This window comes from Homo sapiens, chromosome 11 (assembly GCF_000001405.40).
Source record: "Homo sapiens chromosome 11, GRCh38.p14 Primary Assembly".
Taxonomy (NCBI): Eukaryota; Metazoa; Chordata; class Mammalia; order Primates; family Hominidae; genus Homo; species Homo sapiens.
Window position 1 is genome coordinate 69,247,760 of NC_000011.10, and position 22,174 is coordinate 69,269,933.

The 22,174-nt window shown below is 51.9% G+C and overlaps 1 long non-coding RNA gene across 1 annotated transcript, besides 1 other annotated feature; it reads left to right on the forward strand.

Moving 5' to 3' along the window:
* Nucleotides 1-241: 241 nt before the first annotated feature.
* LOC105369368 (uncharacterized) lies at nt 242-3,413 on the forward strand. Its single transcript, XR_001748070.1, has 3 exons — nt 242-640; nt 2,044-2,209; nt 3,008-3,413. It is a non-coding gene; the product is annotated as an uncharacterized LOC105369368 (long non-coding RNA).
* Nucleotides 10,451-10,720: an enhancer, noted in NCBI's record as "active region_5154". NCBI's record gives its function as "activates an Ori minimal core promoter by ATAC-STARR-seq in GM12878 lymphoblastoid cells {active_cell/tissue: GM12878}" and the evidence as "EXISTENCE:reporter gene assay evidence [ECO:0000049][PMID:35858748]".

Here is a 22,174-nt window from a genome sequence, read left to right on the forward strand (position 1 = left end):
CAGGCTGGAGAATTCCTTTCTATCAAAGTCTTAGACCAGTAGAGTTAGCACTAAGAGGAATGCAACCCATTCATTTTACTGATGAGGAGACAGAAGGTCAAGGTGGACCATGGTGGGGTTTCACTCAACATTCTGGATTCCCCATCCTGATAGTTCCTTCTGTATCACAGATCCTAGCTTACAATACAAAGTCCAATTTTTCAAAAAGGCATGTAATTAAAAAAAAGTCCCAACACTCAGGTGTCTGACCCCTGATTCCTCATTTCTTCCTGTGTGCCGAGATGCCTTTGGCAGACCTAGGGGGAGCTTCTCCCCACTCTATGGGGAAAGGAGCACCAGCTCCTTCCTCCTCTGGGTCCCCTCAAGGAGGCCAAAATGCCCATCATGACCCTGATATTTTTCTCCCCACTCCTCTGGAACCTCACTTCCTCATCCCAGGTGGTACCTGGGTTTCTAATGCCCCAAACATTCATAAATTTAACACATATTTATTGAGAACGTACTGTATACTAGCCCCTTGTTAGGTACTGTGACTACAGCAGCCAGCAAGACAGTCTGGGACCCAGGCCTGCTCATACATTCACTCTTTCCTCTTCACTAGGGTCTGGGAGAGAGCTTTGGGATCGAGACTCAGCCCAAGGTAAGTCCTGGACGGTACTCAGCCCTGATGTGGACCTTGTGGATATTTTTTAAAAAATTATTTAAATATTTTTTATTTACAGAGTGATTGAACAGATCGTACATAGAGTTCCATATACCTCCCACCCTCTCTGTTTCCCCTATTACTAACATCCTGCATTGGTGTGGTATGCTTGTTACAATCGATGAGCCAGTATTGATACATTACTGAGTCCTAATTTTTTTACTAGGATAATCACTAAAATCCATATTTAGGTTAGAGTTCACTCTTTGTGTTGTACAATCCGTGGGTTTTGAAAAATGCATAATGACATCCATCCACCATGATAGTATCAAACAGAAGACCTCCACTGCCCTAGAGACCCTTGATGCTCCTCCTGTTCCTCCCTCCCTTCTAACCCCTGGCAACCATTGCTGTCTTTACTGTCTCCACGGTTTGGCCCTTTCTAGAACATCACAGAGTGGAAACCATGCGGTGGGGAGCCTTTTCAGATTGGCTTCTTTCTCGGCTCACAGGAAGAAATGATGAATTGGGGATCAGACACCTGAGAGTTGGGATTTTTTTTTTAATTACATGCCTTTTTGAAAAACTGGACTTTGTATTTATAAGCTAGGATCTGTGATACAGAAGGAACCATCGGGATGGGGAATCCAGAATGTTGAGTCAAACCCCACCGTGGTCCACCTTGACCTTCTGTCTCCTCATCAGTAAAATGAATGGGTTGCATTCCTCTTAGTGCTAACTCTACCTAAGACTTTGATGGAGAGGAATTCTCCAACCTGTCCCTGTACCTCGTGATAGTGTTGATTTCACTTCACACTCCTCCATGTCTTGTTGCAGCTTGCCGGCTCATTTCTTCTTATTCCTGAATAACGTGGGAGTCTTCTCTACAGATCCTCCCAGGTGGTTCCACGGGGGAGCTGAGTGGAGCTTCTGTGATCTAGTGACCTAGTCCCCAGCATGGAGTGCTCGGAAGTGCCCTCCTTGAACATGTAAACATCCCACCAAGTTGCCTCCCTTCTCTTGCTATTTTGATGTAGCTTTCTTTTCAATGGTCTTATTTCTGGGTCTAGCCCCCAGACACACTTTCCACCCCATGTCCTAACCTACACTCTGCAGCACATCGCACCTGTGCAGGGTGATCGGTGATTGCAGGCCTGGGTCCACGTCTCTGCTCTGCTTCTTGCTGGCCACGAGGCTGCGTGCTCCTTACTGGCCCCTGCGTGCTCATCTGTACAGTGTGCAGGAGCAGGAGCATCTGCCGGCAGACTTCTTGTGAGATTCTAGTTCTGAGGCCTCCAGACGGCGTGGGTGCACCGCCTGAGTCCTGCTGCATTCTGTCTGCTGCAGACCCAAGCCTGGTTCCTGCGTGGGGTCCCTCACGGGTGGTGTGTGTTTCACAGGGCAGCAGGGAGCCAAGGGGCTGGGGCTGCCCGTGGGGAGTGTGTGAATCAAAGGAGCAGACCGCAGCTGGAGCCACCTCGCCTGGATTCCTGAACGCAGACTCTTGACAGACCGATTGTGTAACGGCATTCCTCCCAAGGAAACACGCCTGCCCCCTCCAAGAAGGTGCGAGAGCTTCCCAGACACAGAAAGGGCCCTGCTGGGTAAATCAGTTCTTCATTATTCCGTTCCCGAGGCTCTCCTATTGGCCAAGTGCCCGGCACCAGCAGACGTCTGCCCGCACGGGGTCGGTCCGCATGGGGTCGGTCCGCACGCAGCTGACGCTGAGGCTCAGGTAGTCTCTTTGGTCCCACTAAGCGGAGGATGCATTCAAAAGGATGCAAATTTCCATCCATTTCCTGTCCCCCCTGCCTGGGATAAGGGGCCTGTTGTGGCTGTGCAAGCTGGCTTTCTGGTATCTAAATACTTCTCTGGTGAGGACACACCTGTTCACATCTGCCTGCACACCACAGGCAAGCTGGCTTTCTGGTATCTAAATACTCCTCTGGTGAGGACACACCTGTTCATATCCTGCCTGCACACCACAGGCAAGCTGGCTTTCTGGTATCTAAATACTTCTCTGGTGAGGACACACCTGTTCACGTCCTGCCTGCACACCACAGGTGGGGTTTATTGTGTGGGGCTGGGATTTGGCCAGCCGACTTCTGGAACTCATTGTTTATCTCTCCATCACTGCAACAAATAACCCCCAGACCCGGAAATGCCACCTTCGACTAAGGCCTCAGTGTGGGGTCATCAAAAATGGCAAGCTGGCCAGCCCCGAGGTGGGTGAGGACCAGTGCAGGCCTTGTCCTCTTGGAGTCAGGTAGGGCTGCTACTGGCAGGTGGCATGAGGTCTCTACCGCCTCCGAATGACCCCGCACCCCTTCTCCTTTCCTTTCTGCCCCTCCCTTTTTCATTCAGGATGGAGGCAGAAGAGGTGCTGAGTCTGGAACCCATGGCTGCTGCGGACGAGGAGCTGGGTGATGCTTGCCTGGGCACCGTATCGCTCTCATCCTGTTTTCTCGCCTGTGAAATGGGAATGGCGCTCATGCTTCTCTGTGGGATGCTGGGAAAGGAACATGAGGGCGTCCATGGAAGTGTTTGAGGCATGCCTGCTCCAGGGGGAAGCTCCAGAAATGACACCTATGATCTCCCAGCTGTGTTCCCTTTAAGTTAACAAACACTCGTCTGGTCTGGGGCTGGGGTACAGCGATGAGGATGACCTGGTCCGAGCCCCAGGAATGTGGGCCGTAGGAAGGGCATGGGCATGAAAGACGTGCTCAGGGGACCCCTTCCAGGTGTCACCAAAGAGCCCTGGGTTGTGGTGTCGGCGGGAGCAGGGCAGGTGGGAGGCGGTGGGGGTGGGCAAGGTCTCGGACGCCAGATGCCTGGGTTCACAGCCCAGGCCTGCCTGTTACCAGCTGTGTGATTTCACCTTTCTGAACCTCAGCTTCCCCAAATGTGAAATGGAGTCGATGCTGATAGCAGCTTCTCCTGGGGTTGTTGTGAGGCTGAAACGAGTATTTGCACAATACACAAATACTTGATGCCTGGCAAAAGGTATCTAAGTGTGTTAAATATGTAGCTGTGTCTACACATCAGGGGGCCAACCTCACTGTGCTGAGAGGCAAAAATGGAGAAAAAAGGGAGGTTGCCAAGATTTTGCTCCTGGTGGCCCCAGGCTTTGGAGTTTCAGAGACGGGTGAGAGAGGGAGTCGGGGCAGTCAGGACCCTGGTGTGAGTAGCATGCTTCGTAAAAGTGACTGGGAGAAACCTTGGGACGTCCTTGTCTAAACTAGACTCCTGGCCTGCGGAGAGCCACGCCCCACCTCCCTCAGTCCCTACCATTCGCTATCTTTCTGGGCTGCCTGTACATCCTGCTGCAGCCTTCCGAGGGCCACCCGGCAGGGAAACCGGAGCTGCAGGCAGGAGGCACAGGCCGTTTCATCCACCCGGGGATGGGAGCGAGTTACAGGTGTGGCCATTGTTCCTGAGCACAGGTGGGGATAATGCATGCTGACAGCCCAAGGATGGGCCCCTGGCAGCCTCCATCGGCCTGGCCCGAGCCCCAGGGCAGCCCTCATGGGCACCCAAATTACAAAACGTCCTGTGAACTCTCCCCACGGTCCCGGCCTCTTCATGTGCTTCCAACGCCGGCGGCTTGGACACACCTGGGAGCAGCCACGGCCCATTCACGAAGCACTTTGGTGAAGGTCACCAACTGCAGGGACAGAGCGGGTATTGTCAAGGACGCCAGCCTAGCCTTTGTGCCCCGCCGTCTGCCCCGACCACAGGAATTCCTCACACTCACCCTCATTCACACCAGGAGGGTGCCCACTGCCACTGGGGGCGGCCTCCCTCCCTCCCTCCCCATGCTATTTTCAGGCAGGAGGCTGGAGCCTCGGCCAAAGGAACCTCACCCACGATTTTCCAAAACCTGATTGCCGTGGCTGTGTCTGTGATGGGCACAGACCCAGGGGCCGGGCCTGCCAAGACTCTCCCCGTGTGAATACCTGCACAGGGCACCTCCTGTGGGAACCGGGAGTCACACAGAGCCTGGCATTTGTCCCCAGCCTGTCTTGTGACATTAGGTAGATCAAAGCCCCATTGTAAAAAGTCATGTTGCCTCTGTTCATCTGCTTGGAGCCTGTGTCCTAGGACGGCCCTTCCCTCGGCTCTGGCTCGGGGAGGGAGCTGACCGCCAACACATCTGCTCCCATTTGGGTCCTAGTGTTCCTCCTGGAAGGAGCCCCACCGAAAGTGAAATTGCCTTTCATGGGTCTGAGGCTGGGGCACACCCTGAGAAAGAATGAGAAAGCATGGGGCAGCGCAGCTCCTCTCCAAAGTCTTCAGAGGAACAAGTTCCTACTTGGCTCTACTACGGAACAGCAAGAAGGCAGAGAAAAATGTCACTGATGCCAAAATCCTGGAGGCTTCCTGAATCGGCGATGAGGGGTGGGGAGTTGGCAGAGGCTGGGGTGGGGGCAGCCTCTGTCCAGCAGCCCCTTGGGGCATGGCAGGGAAGGAGGTGATGGAAGGAGGTGAGAAGACACGAGGCTTTGACAATCCTGAATTGTGAGTGGTGGGGCGAGGTCAGATCCTTCCAGAGGGACAGCTTCCCCTTGACTCCCAAGCCTGACCGTTGTGTGTCAAATGAGGGGCAGTCAAATTGCTCAACCACCTGAGTGGTAGGTAACTTGTGAGCTGGAGGGATCTTTACCCACCTTACAGTCCTTAGGTAGTCCATTGGTATGGGCTGCCTGGAGCATGTCTGAGATGGGAGGAAAATGTGCCAAGATGGATTAGTAATGTCTGGATGGCTGCCAGTCTCTTAGTGATGGTGTGTGTGTCATGTGTTTGCCATCTCTGGTATGTTAGTCAGGATAAGCTAGGTTTTGCTGCCATAACAAATAAATCTCCAAACCTCAATTGCTTATTGCTGTGAGAACTTATTTTCTCTCACTCAAATCCCAAAGTGAAGGGGGTGACTTGTTAGGACAGCTGTGCTCTACATAGTGATTCAGGGATCCAGCCTGTTTGCATCTCATGTGCTAATGGAGGGTCACATGGTGCTTCTCATGGCCTCAGCCTGGAAGTGACACACACGTCTCTTTTTACTTTTCATCATCCAGAACTGCTTCTGTGCAATCTGATCCCTGACTCCCTCAGAAGGCAGCAGGGGTCCAGGAGGGAAGAAAGTGGGATGGGTCTGTGGGGCAAAGAACATTATCTCTACCACACTCAGACCCATCCTCTTTGTTATAGAGGATTGGGTTTCTATAACTCAATAGGGATGTGGGATGTGGTTTCTAGACAAGAAAGTGACTTGAACAAAGTCAACAAGGGGTGTTGGCACCGTTGGGACCAGCCTAACTACCATGTAGGCATTTTTTTTGATGTACCATAGTGCCAAATTGTCTAAGTCATTTTTTCAATCTATCTCTCATCTTTCTTGTGAATTTTGTCATCCCCAGAGGTGATTTCTCTTACTGGAAAGTCTAGTGGAGGGACCATGTCCCTTGGCGGACTCTGCCAATGGGTGCCCTTCTTAGAAGCACCGTGTCCTCTTTGCTGGGGTAAAGCCATTCAGTACTGGATGACTTGATGAAGGTAAACCATAGCTGCCCAGGGTCCTGGACACATGAGGCCTGCTCTTGATTAATCTATATCCCTTATTCCCCAAAGAGAATGGCAAAATCCTGGAGCTATGCTCATGTTTGAGTTCTGTATTGGACAGGACCATTTTGGGTGCAATTGGCTTGTGCATTTGTGTACTTGAAAAGCTCAGGGATTTCAGCTTCAGGAATGGCTGGATTCAGAAGCTCAAATGATATCAGAACTCGATCTCACTTTCTCCATTTCCCGTTTCTGTCTTCCTCTGAGAAGGCTTTAATCCCTGGATCCACTTTGATTGGTGAGACTGGGGTCGTATGCCCAACCCTAAACCAGCTACCATGGCCAGGGGAATAAGAAACACTGATTGACCAACCTGGATCTTGCAAACCTCCTTTGCCCCTCTTGATCCTCCTGGTCTGAAAAAGGCTTGCACTGGAATGGGGCCCTGATGCACAAGACACGGTGCCCCACTTTGCTCTCACCTGTTGCTAGTGATACACGTTCCAGGGCTTCTGTGCTGGAGAGGTAGAAGATCATACTGCAGAAGTCCAGTGGGAGGAGGTGCTCACTCTGCCCAGGAAATGGATCATCAGGGAAGGCTTCCTGGAGGAGATATGTTTACCAGACAGCCAAAGGGGAATGAGGAGGGCATAGCAGCAGTGGAAACAGCAGGGGCAAAGGCAGGAGGGCAAAAAGACCACCCTAACCAGAGGACTCTGGTTGCTCAGTGTGATGGTGACTTGTTGGGGTGGAGGGGAGGGTAGCAGGGGGAGGGACATACAGGACCCAGGGCTGGTGAGGCTGTCTGGGGCCTGTTCTGACCATGCCTTGAGATTGGGTGAGCTGGGTGGGAACCCTGAGGAGCAAAAGCAAACTTAAATTCCAAGGGGAGAAGAATGGGATGTGGGCTAGTGTAGACCTCAGATGGCTGAGCAGAGAGTAGGTGATGGGCATTTCTTAATTGTGACCCTGGGGCAGAGATGGATCTGGTGCCCAAAGAGGCTGGTCAGGCCAGGAAGCTCCTTGAAAGTCGGCCAGAGGAGCTAGGGTGTATCCTCCCCAAATGAAGACCCACTGAAGGGTTTCAAGCATGTGGGACTGTTTTCTGTGTGGACATATCATTGAGGCTGCTGTGGTGTATGGTATGGGTTGGAGGAGGCAAGGCCAGCCGGAGAGAGGTAAGGGGCTAGTGCTAATGGCCGACTTCATGTTCACTAAGTGCATATTAGGCTCAGAACTAGGAGCTGGGTTTGGTAGATCTGGGAGCTGGGGCACAGCGAGGGATGAAGGGAGGGTGGAGGGTTAGAAGAGTCACTAACCCCCAGCTTTGAGAATTTCAGCCACTCCGTCCGCAGACAAGATGCATGAAGGAAGCAGACAAGGCATGAGGTTTCACAAATGCTCTGCACTAATATGCCCGCCTTACAGTCATAGCCTGGTTACTCTTTCTTTATATAAAATTATAACGGATATTCTAAACTTCTTTTCCTACTCTATAGTAAATTAGGAGCTCATACATTGGAAATGGTGTGTGTGTGTGTGTGTGTGTGTATGAGAGAGAGAGAGATTCAGGGGGTGCGAGAGAAGGGAGCAATAAAGGCAGCAGCTGAGATGGAGATAAAGTTCTCCTAAAGACATCCCATGAACTCATAAAGCTCGGCATTTTGGGCCACTGGTGTAAAGGTGATAGTTTTCTATAACTCAGTCCTACAGAAGAACATCCCATTAGAAGATGGGAACATTAGCAAGTGTTGGTAGTTGCTCCATCTGGCCACTTCAAGGCAAGCAAGTCTTCTTGGCTTTGCCCAGAGTATCCACGATGCTGGCACATCCTGGTGATTGCCAAGTGGGTGAATGGGTGAATGGATGCACGTTCCAATGACACCTGCGTTCTTTGAGCAATTGATCCTGTGGGGGAAACTGACATCCCAGAAGATCTGTCGGGCTGCTGCCTGCCCCCAACCCCAATGCAGTGCCCTCGATAAGGAAAGTGAGCTCCATGGCTTCTGTTTAGGAAGATGGGGAAGCTGCAATGCAATGAGGAAAAAAAAATCCCACCCCAAACGGGTTTGCATTTTAGGAAGTGTTTTGTTGTCCCTGCCAAGTGACAGTGTGGACTCAGGGTGGGGGAGGACTCTAGACTTGGCAAACCAGGTGTATTAGTCTGTTCTCACACTGCTATAAAGATACTACCTGAGACTGGATAATTTATGAAGAAAAGAGGTTTAATTGACTCACAGTTCCCCATGGCTGGGGAGGCCTCAGGAAACTTACAATCATGGCAGAAGGTGAAGGGGAGGCAAGGCACATCTTCACAAGGCGGCAGGAGAGAGAGCGCGAGGAAGGAAGTGCCACATTTTTAAATCATCAGATCTCATGAGAACTTACTCAATATCATGAGAACAACATGGGGGAAATTGCCCCCATAATCCAATCACCTCCTACCAGGTTCCTTCCTAACACATGGGAATTATAATTCAAGATGAGATTTGGGTGGGGACACAGCCAAACCATATCACCAGGGGACAAGGAGTGGTTCAGAGCAAAGCTGTCATCGCAGCTTGGGTGGCCGTAGGAGATGGAAATACCCCACTCTGCTTAAGCCTCTCTGATGCCAGGCACCCTGTGACTGCAGCCAACCCACTTCTTAATCCCTGGGAACTGTGAATACATGACCTTACATGGCAAAAGGGACTTTGCAGTTGTGATAAAGTGAAGGATCTTGACACGGGAGAGGACCCTGGGTTGGGAGGGTGGCCCTCCCTTATGAGAGGGAGGAAGGGGGAGTTGGAGCCAGAGGAGATGTGCAGATGGGAGCAGGGCTTGGAGAGCTGTACTTTGAAGAACGAGGGAGAGGGCCACCAGTGCAGAGGGAGGGAGGGGCCACCAGCGCAGAGGGAGGGAGAGGCCACCAGCACAGGGATTTGGGTGACCTCTAAAAGCAGAAAAGACAAGACAAGAATTCTCCTTGAGGGCCTCCAGAAGGAACATGACTCCATTGAGGACTTCTGACCTCCAGGATTCTGGGATCAATAAATGTGTGCTGTTTAGAAGCTGCTAAGTATGTGGTCATTTATTACAGCAGCAATTGGAAACAAGTATACAAGTCCCAGCTAACACACCTGCCACATTCCCAAGTGAGAGGCAGAGCCTGGTAATGGAAGGGCCCAGTGGTTTGGGTCCTGGGTCTGCCCCGGCTCAAGTGCCCTGGGTGCTGCTCACCCCTGGACATCATGCTCCTTTCATCCACCGGGAGCTCTGCTTCTCTCTTCCTTGGATACCTGCCATTCACTCACTCACGACTTTTTCATTCCCCTATTAAGGCCACCGAGTGCAGGGATGCAGGAATGGAGGAAAAGAAGAGGACCAAAACCTGCTGGTCCCAGGTCCCCTGCCTCTTCCTTCTGGTGGGAGGGCCTGGGGGTGCAAACCCAATGCTGGGCCTCCAGCTCCCCAGCACACAGCTGCATATGAGAGGCTCCTGCAGACAGGTGCCGTCATGGGCTGAATTGTGTTCCCCAAAATTTATGTGTTGCAGCTCTAACCCTCAAAACCTCTGCATATGACTGCATTTGGAGATAGGGCTTTAAAGAGGCAATTAAGTTTAAATGAGGTCGTTAGGGTGGACTCGTGTCTTTATAAGAAAAGGAGATTAGGACACACACAGAGGGATTGAGAGCAGACTGGCCCCTGTGAGGACTCTGAGGGACAGAGCCCTGTTCCTGGAGCCTCTGCATGCCCTGGGAAGTGTGGGGAGTAGGCAGGGCCCCCAGCCAAGGCTGAGGCTGTCCCTCCTAGGCTTCCTGCCTTGCAAAGCCAGAGTCACCCTGCGGGTCCTTGACTCACTCTGTAGAGCCCCTTCCTACCTTGGCCAAGCTTTGTCTGGGCTAGCATCAGTGAGAAGATACTTGGGAAGAGTTTTTACCCACTAAGGGCAGCTTAGGAGGAAGGAAAGGCAGAGGTAGAGTGAGCACTGGGGGTTTGAGTCACAGGCAGGCACAGGAGGAGGCCACCAGAGTTCCATCTTTGTGACGCAGCACCATGGAGTTCCTGTGTTGGTCTCTGAGTCTTTGCCCATGTTATTCCCTCTACCTGGAAGGCTTGCCCCTTCTCTGGGCCAGCTCGGATCCTCCTCATCAAGACAGGAAGAGAGTAGGGACTACTGTCTGCCAGATCTCTGCCCACACCATTGGCACCTTGTCCACAAAGCACTCCTGTGACCGCCCAGTGCCTTCCTCAAGCCATGCACCTGGGCTCATGGGGACCACTCATGCCCAGGGGATGGGAGTAGAGCCTTATTTTTAGACCCAGGGTTGATTTCGTGAGACTTTCTGGGAAAGTATTTATTGAAAGGGGAAGTCCTAAGAGATTAGAAATTTACCCAGTAATTGACGAATCTGATACTTAGAGAAAAACCCCCTTCCCACAAGGGGCTTGTATCTGCTGACCCTGCACACTTGTCTGTTCCTGGCATTCACTGTTTATCTGCTGTGAATTAGAAACAAAACAAAACAAAAAAGACAGCTATTAGCATGCAAACCCCAGGAGAACTGGCCCCCTGTGATTTGCATGAGAACAAAAGCTCTTTCCAATGTCCTGGGGCTCAAGTCTTCAGGATAGCCTTAACTTCCAAACCAGGCAGGGCTTCAAAGCCGGAACTGGGGAACTCCTATGTGGGCTCTCTGGACCAGCAGCATCAGCATCACTTGGGCAGTAGGTAGAAAGGCAAGATCTCAGGCCCCTCCTCAGACTTGCTGAATCAGAAACCTTGGGAGTAAATCGAGAGATAGTCCATGTTGATGGATTGGAAGACTCAATATTAAGATGCCAATTCTTCCCAATTTCATCTGTAGATCAGCACAATTCCATTCAAAGTCCCAGCAAGCTACTTTATAGTTATTATAAAACTGATTCTAGAATTTATATGGAAAGACACAGGGAACAGAGTAACCAATGCAATTCTAAAGAAGGAGCTTTAGGGGAGGATTGGCCATCTGTACTTTAACAAGCCCTCGAGCTGGGTCTGATGCACACTATAGTTTGGAAACTATTGGGTTAGTAAGGAAATTCTGGGGGAGGGGGTGGGTTGGGGAGGGAGCCATATCCAGAGGCTTCTTCATTCACTGAGCCCCTCCCTATTCCATTCCATCTCCCCCTTCAGCCTTGAAACTGGACTTCTCTTGGTGGCAGGGATCTGAGTATTTAATGCCTTGCTCTTGCCTCTCCCTTTTCATTATTCCTTTCTTTGATAGACGAGCTCTATCAAGAAGCTCTCAAGGCCTGTCACCCACCTGACTCACCCAATAAAACTGACACTTCCATTTCCCATCAAACACATGCCAAGAATTGCTTTCGGGGTGGAGAAGGAAGTAAATCTGATTAGGCAAAGATGAAGTTTTCTCTAGCATAAAGGGTTGGTGAGAAAAAAGGCAAGTTATGCCCATACATGAATACAGCTTGTTTGTCATATATATGTTAAATACCAAGGTAATCTTGGTCCCTTTTGCAAACCAACAGCTGATTAATAATTCAAACAAATGCTGCTCAGTTGCATCTCTATCACCACTGGCCACCACCTCGTTTATCCTGACACCTCCTAAAAGGACCGTGGCCACTTCTTTCCCCTGGATGCCTCCTTCCTTTACAGCTGGTGTCATCCTCCAATCTTTCCTCCACTCTGGCCATCAGAGTGGCTTTCCTAAAGCATAGTCTTGTAAGACTTTTTTAAAAGTGTTTTGTGTAGTTAATTCTTTTATTTCTGTTTCCTTAATGGCTTCTTCGTTTCCTATCTTGTTGGGAAGACTTCCTGCATGATGAAGTTATATGAATATTTTCCTTTATTATCATCCATACACTTATAATTTGGGCCTTTTGTTTATTTGTAATAGGTTATCACTCTGTCACCCAGGCTGGAGTGCAGCGTCACAATCATAGCTCGCTGCAGCCTCAAACTCCTGAGCTCAAGTGATCCTCCCACCTCAGCCTCCCTGGTAGCTGGGACCACAGGTGCACACCACCACATTGGCTAATTTTTGTATTTTTTTGTAGAGATGGGGTCTCCCTATGTTTTTCAGGTTGGTCTTGAACCCTGGGCTCAAGCAATCTGCCTGCCTCAGCCTCCTGAATTGCTGGGATTATAGGCATGAGCCACTGTGCCTGGCCTTTATAGTTTTAAAAAACAACTCTTTCAATTCATTTGGAAGTCATTTTTGTATATGGTATGAGGTAGGGATTTAACTTAAAAGTCTTCCAAATGAATAGTCATTTTCCCAACCCTCTTAAACCCAGAATTTGTCCTTTGTCATATTTTCAGTCCCTAAATATACTTGGAGAAATGACTGGGCCCTCTGTTTTGTTTCACTTATCTGTTTACCCCAGGAGTACAGGGTTTAATTACTGTAGCTTCAGCATGGGTTCAAAATCTGGTCAAGCCCCAACCCCCTTTCTCTTTCTGAAGCTATTTTGACAATTTTTGCAGGTTGATTTGTTTTTCATGTGAACACCAGATTCATACAGTCCAATTTCAAAACAATAAAGATTTTATCTAGTTTTAAAAGAAATGACACAACCCAAACTGAGAACCTTGTTGGGATTCCGAATGGAAAAGAACACACCTATTAATCCTTGAAGGCTTTGCCAACTGTGATAATAAAGTCTTCTTGAAGATCATTTCTCTTCATTCACTCAGGACTTGATTTATGTTCTTCAGGTACATTTCATCATTTTTGTCCTAGAGATCTAGTGCTTTTCTTATTAAACTTATTTCTAAGTATTTTATGGTTAGCTCACCAAGATTAGGAAATTGGAATGTGGCAGGGCTGGGGAAAGCAGAGCAAAATCAATCACACATGACAACCAAGTATCTAGAAAGCACTTACTCTAGGGGGGCAGTGGCCACACCAGTTTTCAAGCCAGAGTCACAGAAATTTCTGGAGTTGTACTCAGCTCTAAGTAAGATATTCTCCTAGATTCCCTTCTAGCTCACACTTGCTGTTATACTACACTTAGGGTATCAGGAATCATCTGGAACTTGCCAGATTGATGATGGCATTAGGGGTGATTGCTCCCCTGCCTCCTCAACTCCACTACCTTCTTACAGAAACTGGTAGCCTGTCTAGAACTCCTGTGTCTCTTTTAAGACTTAAAGTACCAAATGACAACAGCATTGGCTGGGGCAACTTGAAGAGGTATGAGGGGTATTTGAGGATGCGGCTGGCATTCCTGGACCCCTCCACTTTTGCTGATTATGTCTACAGGCCAGTCTCCTGCCCCATCTCCTGCACCCCCTACAAAGGAGGAGATTGTTCTCTGGTTTCTGGCTGACCTTGAGGGATTATTCACAAACACAGGGATCACATTCACATCTCGCCACCAGCATGGTCTCTGGGACCCAGCTGCAATGTTAAATGAGAGGGCAGCCTGGAACCTGGGAGGATGGGATCTTCGGGTCTGCTTCTGCCTGTGCCTGGAGGGCTGGGCCTCCAGGATGGGTCCTGACTCTGTATCATGGTCCACTCCTCACACCAAATGTGTTCTAGATACTGGGTGGCCCCAATCCCACCAGAAGACGGGGCAGTGGCAATTTTTCCAATGATCTCAGGGTGGAGATTTCTACCTCTGATCTTCGGGGTGGAAATCCATGAGATCACTTTTCTTTTTTTTTCCAGGCCTTCAATGCTGGGCCTCTATCCTGCCCACGTGGTTGGTGGGGCAGATTCGTGGCTCTCCTCAACACCTTCATGGATTAACAAACAGTCTCATGCTCAGTAAATGGAAAGTCCAGTCCAGTCTAAGTCAGAGCTTCAGTCTTTTTTTTTTTTTTTTTTTTTTTTTGAGACGTAGTCACGCACTGTCGCCCAGGCTGGAGTGCAGTGGCACGATCTCGGCTCACTGCAACCTCTGCCCCTCCAGGTTTAAGCAATTCTCTGCCTCAGCCTCTGGAGTAGCTGGGATTACAGGCACGTGCCACCATGCCCAGCTAATTTTTTGTATTTTTAGTAGAGATGGGGTTTCACCATCTTGGCCAGTCTGGTCTTGAACTCCTGACCTCGTGATCCACCTGCCTTAACCTCCCAAAGTGCTGGGATTACAGGCATGAGCCACAGCGCCCGGCCAGAGCTTCAGTCTCTTATCCCATGTACACCCTCTTCCCCACTCCACGGCTCCTGCTAGGGTGGGCAGCTGTCATGGGGAGGGCCTGGGCTGTGGTTTCTGCTGCATTCTTCCTTTTTCCTTCTTCCCCCATGAGGCTTGGAGTTTCTCCTCTGGCGTGTGCCTTTGATGTCTGGCTTTGGGCCTTTCCCCATTGGGAACCCCTAGCATGAGTCTCTGGCCCTGGCCAGGTGCCTTCAGCTAAGGGCCTGTGACTGCTCCCATCCTGGGCTCCTCTCTAGGGAGGGCCTCAGGTGGCTCCTGGTGGTCTCTCACCCTCATAGGAAATGTCCTTTCAAGATGACCCACTCATGGCTTCTTTTCATGGCTGTCCACCATGACTCACTTTCCCCTCCATGCCTGAAGATGGCCACCCCGAGGGCAGCTCTGGCCACCCCTCATTTAGGCAGTGCAGGCAGGGGTCAGCACCAGGCTCTGCATCCTCCAAAACTCTAAAATCTCCTGCAGACCCTCAGAGATGCTTCTGAGGACCCCCTCACCTGGCCTGAGATGCGAGTGAGAAGAACACCTCTCTCTTCACTGTCAACACAAGTAAATAACAAGTATTGGTGAGGATGTGGAGAAACCAGAACCCTTGTACACTGTTGGTGGGAAGGCAAAATGGTACAGCCACATTGGAAAACACTTTGGCAGTTTAGCAGATGGATGATCCATCCATCCATCCATCCATCCATCCATCCCTCTGTCTATCCATTGATCCATCCATCAATCCATCCCTCCATCCATCCATCCATCCACCCATTCATCCGTCTGTCCATCCATCCATCCATCCATCCATCCACCCATCCATCCTTCTGTCTGTCCATCCATCCATCCATCTGTCCATCCATTCATCTGTCCACTCATCTGTCCATCCATCCATCCATCCACCCACCCATCCTTCCACCCATCCATCCTTCCATCTATCTATCTGTCCATTCGTCTGTCCACCTGTCTGTCCATCCGTGCATCCATCCATCCATCCATCCGTCCGTCCATCCATCTGTCCATCCATTCATCTGTCCACCCATCTGTCCATCCACCCACCGTGTCTGTCCATCCATCCATCTGTCCATCCATCCATCCATCCATCCATCCATCCATCCATCCGTCCATCTATCCATCCATCCATCCATCCATCCATCCATCCATCCATCCATCCATCCAACCATCCACCCACCCATCCATCCATCCATCCATCCATCCATCCATCCTTCCATCCATCTGTCTGTCCATTCATCTGTCCATCTATCCATCCATCCATCCATCCATCCATCCATCCATCCATCCATCCATCCATCCACTCACCCATCCATCCACACTCACTGAGCACCTGCTACATCCTGCTCAGAGTCTGGTGGGAAGACAGATGTGTAAACAGACAATGACAACTCAACATCCAGGGCCATGATGGAGAATCATTTCCCACTCTAGGTTCTGAAAGCAGTAGTCCAGTACCCTTTTCCTGCTCTGGGCTGTGTCTCCGTGTAGCTGATATGACTCTGATGATGTCATCCTCTAGACCTCAGTTGCTCTTCTGGAGTTACAAGGAAGCAGAAGAAATTCATTAGGTGCCCCGAACTTGAGGGCAGGGCCCAGACCAGGGCACTCCTGGCCTGGGTAAGCCCTGGCTTCCTCCCTGACCAGCTGTGTGACCTCAAGTCTGTCACTGCCCCCACCCCCGACACCCGTCCCCACAGCCCCCACCATGAAGAGACTGGGCTGGCTGCTTTCCAAGATCACTCTGAATTCTTGTCTGGGAGCTAAGATATTTCTGTCATGTGCGGAGCAGGCTGTCCTGCTTCCCAAGCCCAGGGCATTTTGCACCTCTGTGTTTCCTCCTGCCCTACTGCACCCTCCCACCTGCACTGGGCCATAGCATGTACTCAGCCCTCCCCTAAATGTTGCACTCATGCTCTGAATCCCAGCTCAGAAGTCATCTCCTGGGTGGGTTCCCTCAGTGCCAGCAGAACCCCTGCCCTGTGTCCCAGTCATGGAATATGCCCCTGATGTAGCCCTTATTCCATCTCATGCTGGCCCTTTTGGCAATGGAGTCTGTGGGGCACCAGGACAAGCCTGAGGGGTTTGCCAGAACGTGAGGCTCCGTCCTTGCAGGTGTCCCAGGACTTTTGGCTGCTCTGTGACCCCCTGGGTCCTCAGCCCTCTTTGAGGCCGTGTGTGGCCATGTGAGGCCCCAGACCCTGTGACAGAGGCCTCCCCACACCTCCTGAGTAGAAAGAACGGAACAATAACAGGGCAGATGCGGCGCCTTTGCCCTTCAACCCTGGGGCTGTGTTTTGCAAAGGACCAGAAGGATCAGAAGGGTCTGAAGGGTCTGAAGAGAACCGAGCCCCAAATGCCCCACACCTGGCATCAAGGAGGTGACTAGGAGGCTCCTAAGGGTGCTGAATCACTAGCTTCCCTGGTTGGGCCTGGCTGAGGGAGGCAGGGGTTGTTGGCAGTAAGGAGGGAGGGAACAAGGAAGCATCTACAGGGAATGCCACCCAAGACCCAAGATTTGGCCTGCCCTGGGCCCTGGGGAGGGAGCGGCTACACCAGAGCATGGCCTTCAACCCTCCCCTGGCCGCTGCTCCCCTCCAGCGTGTATCTGCTTTGGGTGGGAGGAGCAAGGTCACTGTCTTCCTTGCTGGGGTGGCTGGGAGGGAATGTGCCCTATCTGTAGACACCAGGCAGCCAGAGAGACCCTGCTGTGTGGGAATGGTCTGGATGCCAGCATAACCTGCAGTCTCACGAGGAAGAGCTCACAGACAGAGTGTAGGTGCACACAGCCAGAAGCCAGGGGCAGATGTGCAGGATGTTTACGTGCCCTGTCTCTTGCTCTGCTGCCCATGTCCCTCACTGGCCCCATGGCTCTGAGGCCCAGAGAATGCAGTGCAGGGACTCTCAGTACTGCTGAGTGCCTACTGTATGCCTACTATATGTAACCCGGCACTGGGTGCCTTGGGGCCTCCAAAGCAAGGCCCCGTGACCCTGTTCTAGAGCTCACAGCCACGACTGAGGGCTGGGATGAGGGGCAGGCTGGTATATAATGACAGTGACCAGCCGAGGGTCTCCAGGCCCTGCAGGAGCCTCAGCTGAGGAGCTCAGAACACAGAGTAAGGGTCCCGCAGGTAACAAAGTTGGGGCTCCCCATTCTCACCCCCAATATGTGTTTATCAAGCACACCACAGTGGGGCCAGCACTGCAGTGAACAATCACACACACGTGTGACGTCACCCTCTAGAAAGGATGGAGAAGAGAGGGAGGGATCAGCCCTGGGCAGCCAGGGAAGGACCCTCTGAAGAAGTGACAGGCAAGCTGTGGGTGGTGGGGACCTGGGAGGGCAGGGAAGAGGGACAAGAGGCTAGACCACAGCTGGGGCTCAGTGACGTGGGGTTTCATGGGTCGTGCAAATGATGAGGGATCTTATCCTGGATTTTGCTAAGTGCCCAGTGCCAGGCCAGCCTCTCGGGCAAGTGACCTGTGTAGCTGCACCAGCCCCTGGGTCAGTGGGGCTCTCTCAGGGTTCAAAGCTCTGCTACCACCATCTATCTTTCTTTCTTTCTTTTCTTTTCTTTTTTTTTTTTTTTTGAGACAGAGTCTCACTCTGTTGCCCAGGCTGGAGTGCAGTGGTGCGATTTCGACTCACTGCAACCTCCACCTCCCGAGTTCAAGTGATTCTCCTGCCTCAGCCTCCCAGGTAGCTGGGATTACAGGTGTGCACCACCATGCCCGGCTAATTTGTTTTGTATTTTTAGTAGAGACAGGGTTTTGCCATGTTGACCAGGCTGGTCTTGAACTCCTGACCCCAGGTGATCCACTCGCCTTGACCTCCCAAAGTGCTGGGATTATAGGCATGAGCCACTGTGCCCGGCCCTGCCGTCACCATCTAGATGCTCTTTAATAACTTTGAACAAGGCGTCCTGCATTTTCACTTTGCACTGAGCCCCTCAGGTCCTGCCCACACAGCTGCTGCTTGCTCAGGAGCCCAAGTCTGGCCATCCCCTCGTCTTCCCGACCTCATGTGAGGGAGGAGGGAGGGGGCTGCCTTCTCCACCAGGCGGGCATGGAAGTTTGCCAGCCTCAGATTTTCAATTAATTGCCCACGCCCCTGGAAGATAATTGCCAGGACTGTTTGCCTCCATGTGGGCCTCAAGGTCAGTTGCCTGGGCAGTCTTGTTAGGGAGGAGGAGATAAAGGGGGCTCTGGCCTCTGTTTCTCGTGGAGGTGCTGCCTGGGGTGCCCATCGCAGGTGAACAGGGTGTGTGTGCCTGGGCAGGGTTGGGGCACGAACTTTTCAAGCCAGGACAATGTCAGAGCCTGGGCCACATTCTATTGAGCATGGCTTCCCTGGGACCCTGTAGCTGGTCAATGTGGACATTGGCAATGAAATGCCAGAGACCTTGAATGACAACTAGAACAGCCCTGCTGTGAACTAGTCAGAAAGTCAGATGTTCCTGCTCTGACACTCACAGCTGTGTGGCGGGGGCAATTGAAAATAACTCTAGCCCCAATTTTCCCATCTACGCAGTGGGTACAACTTCATCCATCTCCAGGGTGGTGTGCAAGAGGGCTTTGTGATCACCCTGGTGGGCTGTGTGTCAGCCCCCTGCACATTTCTTTGTTCAGTCTCTGCCTCCAGAGTTCAGTCTCTGCCTCTAGAGAGAAGCACTGTTTTTGCAAAAGGCTGCAGATGTGGGGGCCCCTGCACCTGGTGCAGAGAAAGCATTTAATCAACGTTGGTTAGACCAAGGGTCCCTAACTGGTCCGTGGCCTGTTAGGAACTGGAGATGAATGGTGGGTGAGGGAGCCAAGCTTCATCTGTATTTACAGCCACTCCCCATCACTCACATGACGGCCTGAGCTCCACCTCCTGTCAGATCAGCGGCAGCATTAGACACTCATAGGAGTGCAAACCTTACTGTGAACTGCGTATGTGAGGGATCTAGGTTGCACGCTCCTTATGAGAATCTAATGCCTGATGATCTGTCAGTGTCTCCCATCACCCTAAGATGGGACCATCTGGTTACAGGAAAATAAGCTCAGGGCTCCCACTGATTCTACATGATGGTGAGTTGTAGAATTATTTCATTATATAATGTAATAATAATGGAAATAAAGTGCATGATAAATGTAATGCACTTGAATCATCCTGAAACCATCCCCCCAACCCCTGGTCCAGGGAAGAATTGTCTTCCGTGAAACTGGTCCCTGGTGCCAAAAAGGTTGGGAACCGCTGGGTTAAATGAGGGGAGGAAGGAAAGGCTGACTGATGTGTACTCCAGGAAGGCACCCCAGACTCAAGGTTGCCTGGCTCAGGCAAGGCCATGGCCAGCCGCAGAGGGACGGAGGGAGAGAGGGAGGAAGATGGGGCAGGAATGTCAAGGGGAAGAGAAGGAGTTGGCCAGTGCTCAGGAGCAAGCGATAAGTAAGCAGGGCCGAGGATTAGGAAAACACTGAGCGGAAGGAGGCGTGGAGGGACCGTTGCAATCAGATGGGAAACCAGATTAGATGCTGAATCAATGGAAAAGATCCCCGCCGGATCAAAGGCGCTTCTGGGGAAATGTGAAAAGCTATTCAGGGTCAGGAGGCAGGCCCCAGAGGAGGGGCCCAGGCAGCCCAGCCAGCAGCCAGGGAGTCTGTGGAGCCTGGGGAATGGGGCAACAGAGAGCCAGCCTCGGTGCCCGTTACACCCACGGGCCCGAGGTAGCCACTCACAGGCTGTTTGGGGCCAGACTTCCCAGATTCTGGGACACCAGGGCATTGGAGGCTCTTGGCTGGTGGAAATGGCAGAGATCGGAGGGGGTGGGAACAGACTGGTCTTTATTCCTATTCCAGGGATAGAGCCACCTGCATGAGCTTTTTGGGTACCTCGGGAACTTCCCCTCCAGGTTGCAAGCTGTAGGCTCTGCTAGTCTGTGGGGACTGCACCCTGTCTCCAGAACCCCAGGAGGGGCTGTGTTTGGCCCTCATACATCTTTGCTGGTGGCATTGTGGGCTTTGGTGCCATATAACCCCAGAGAGGCTGTGCCCACCAGGCAAGGAAGGCACCTTTATCCGTCACTGAATGTGGGCCCAGGCCTGGTCCCTGGAGCTCTCTAAGCATCCTCCCCAGCCACATCAGTGCTGGGCCAGAGCACAGGAGCCAAGCACTTCAGGGCGGCAGAAACAGCATGGGCTGTGTTTCTCAAAAAGGATTCCAGGGAATGCTGGTCCCATAAGACAGTCCAGAAATAGAACTTAGGAGGTTAAATCAGTTTGAGAAACCCAGCTTGCTCTCTCCTCTCAGAGAGACAGAATAAAAGCCCCAGCAAGTTCTCTAAAGACTTTGCTTCATCCTGTGGTCCCCAAACTCCCTTGATCCTGTTAACATCCAGTGGAACTGGAATACACTTTGGAAAGTGACGATCAAGCTTGCCACGCTCTCTCTGCACTAAGCGGGCACCTGTGGTGAATGAGCTTGGTTTTCTGGCCCTCGAGCTCGCGAATGGGTTTTGTTTGGCAGATGGGTGTGTGACGTCCACCTCAAATGCAGCTTCCACGTTCCCCTTCTGCCACATGCCTGGGGAGCTTCACAGGGGAGGCGTGCTGAGAAATCTCCCTGCTATGAGGCATTGATGGGCATCTGTTCCCTGGGGTGGGGGCCTCTTTCTGCCTGTGTGGTGGGAAGGAAAATGGCTGGGCCTCCCAGAGTGTTGGGCTCTATCCTGGCCTTAGGCTTGGGGTCCCACCCAGCTTCCCTGAGACCGCAGAGGGAGATTCTTCAGGCTGATGGTCCTGGGAGGCTGGGGCCATGGGGGTCCCCTCGTCCTGCCTAGGAAGAGAGTAAAGGAAGGTGGCCCAGGGAGGCCCTCTGGGCCTAGCAACAGTAGCCACACCACTGCTTCTCATGTACAGAGGAGGCCAGGAAATGAGAGGCCTGGGCACAGAGTGGCCTTCTAGATGCCCAACCTCAGAGCAGGGAGTGACCGGGGGCACACCAGAGGCTGAGAGGGCCCAGGCCAGTCGGGAGCCATAGTGGCCTGGACGGGGCTCAGCACGGGGGGCCGGCAGGGGAGAGAGAGGTCCAGTGGGTCAGAGTTGGGGTGTAGGCGGCGTGCAAAGGGATGTGGGAAGGGATGGGGTCAAGGAGCTTTGGAGTTGAGCTCCGAATGTGCCTTGGAGCCCTGAAGGCTGCTCCTGGGAAGGGAACCTGATTCATCTCTGTGAGTTTCAGGCAGAACCCAGACCTATAATGAGCAAGGTTACAGTAGCCAGGGGTCCAGAGTGAGTGGTGAGCTCCCCACTCCTGGAGCTGGGCCCTGCTGGCTGCCAGCCAGTCAGAGGCAGCATGTGGTCTCGATGGCTGAGATTATGGACGTTGTAATCTTCATGCATTCATTCAGCACCTGCTGCATGCAAAGCACAGTTCTGGGTTTGAAGCCCAGCTCTTCCACTTCCTTGCTGTGTGACCTTGGGCAAGTCACTTAACCTCTCTGAGCCCTTTCCCTTTCCTTTAAAATGTCTGCACTTTTCATTTCTTGGCCAGGTGGAAAAGACTGAGTCTGAAAACTGGGGCCTCAGACAACCCTCAAGGAGTGTGGGAATTTCAGGCCCCCAAGAGGGACCACCTGTCCTGGTCACCGATAGGGCTGAGTGGAGGTGTGGGGGTGTAGGCCTTTCCTTCCAGCTCGCCTCCAGGCCCCAGCTATACTGTCTCAGCCTTCATGTGACCCCAGAAACTTCCAGAAGAGTGGCCCTTGGAGGCCCTCCCAACCTCTGGTGGGCCTGGTGCTCCCTCCCACACCCACACGAGCCTGGGAAACAGCTCTGTGGGCTCTG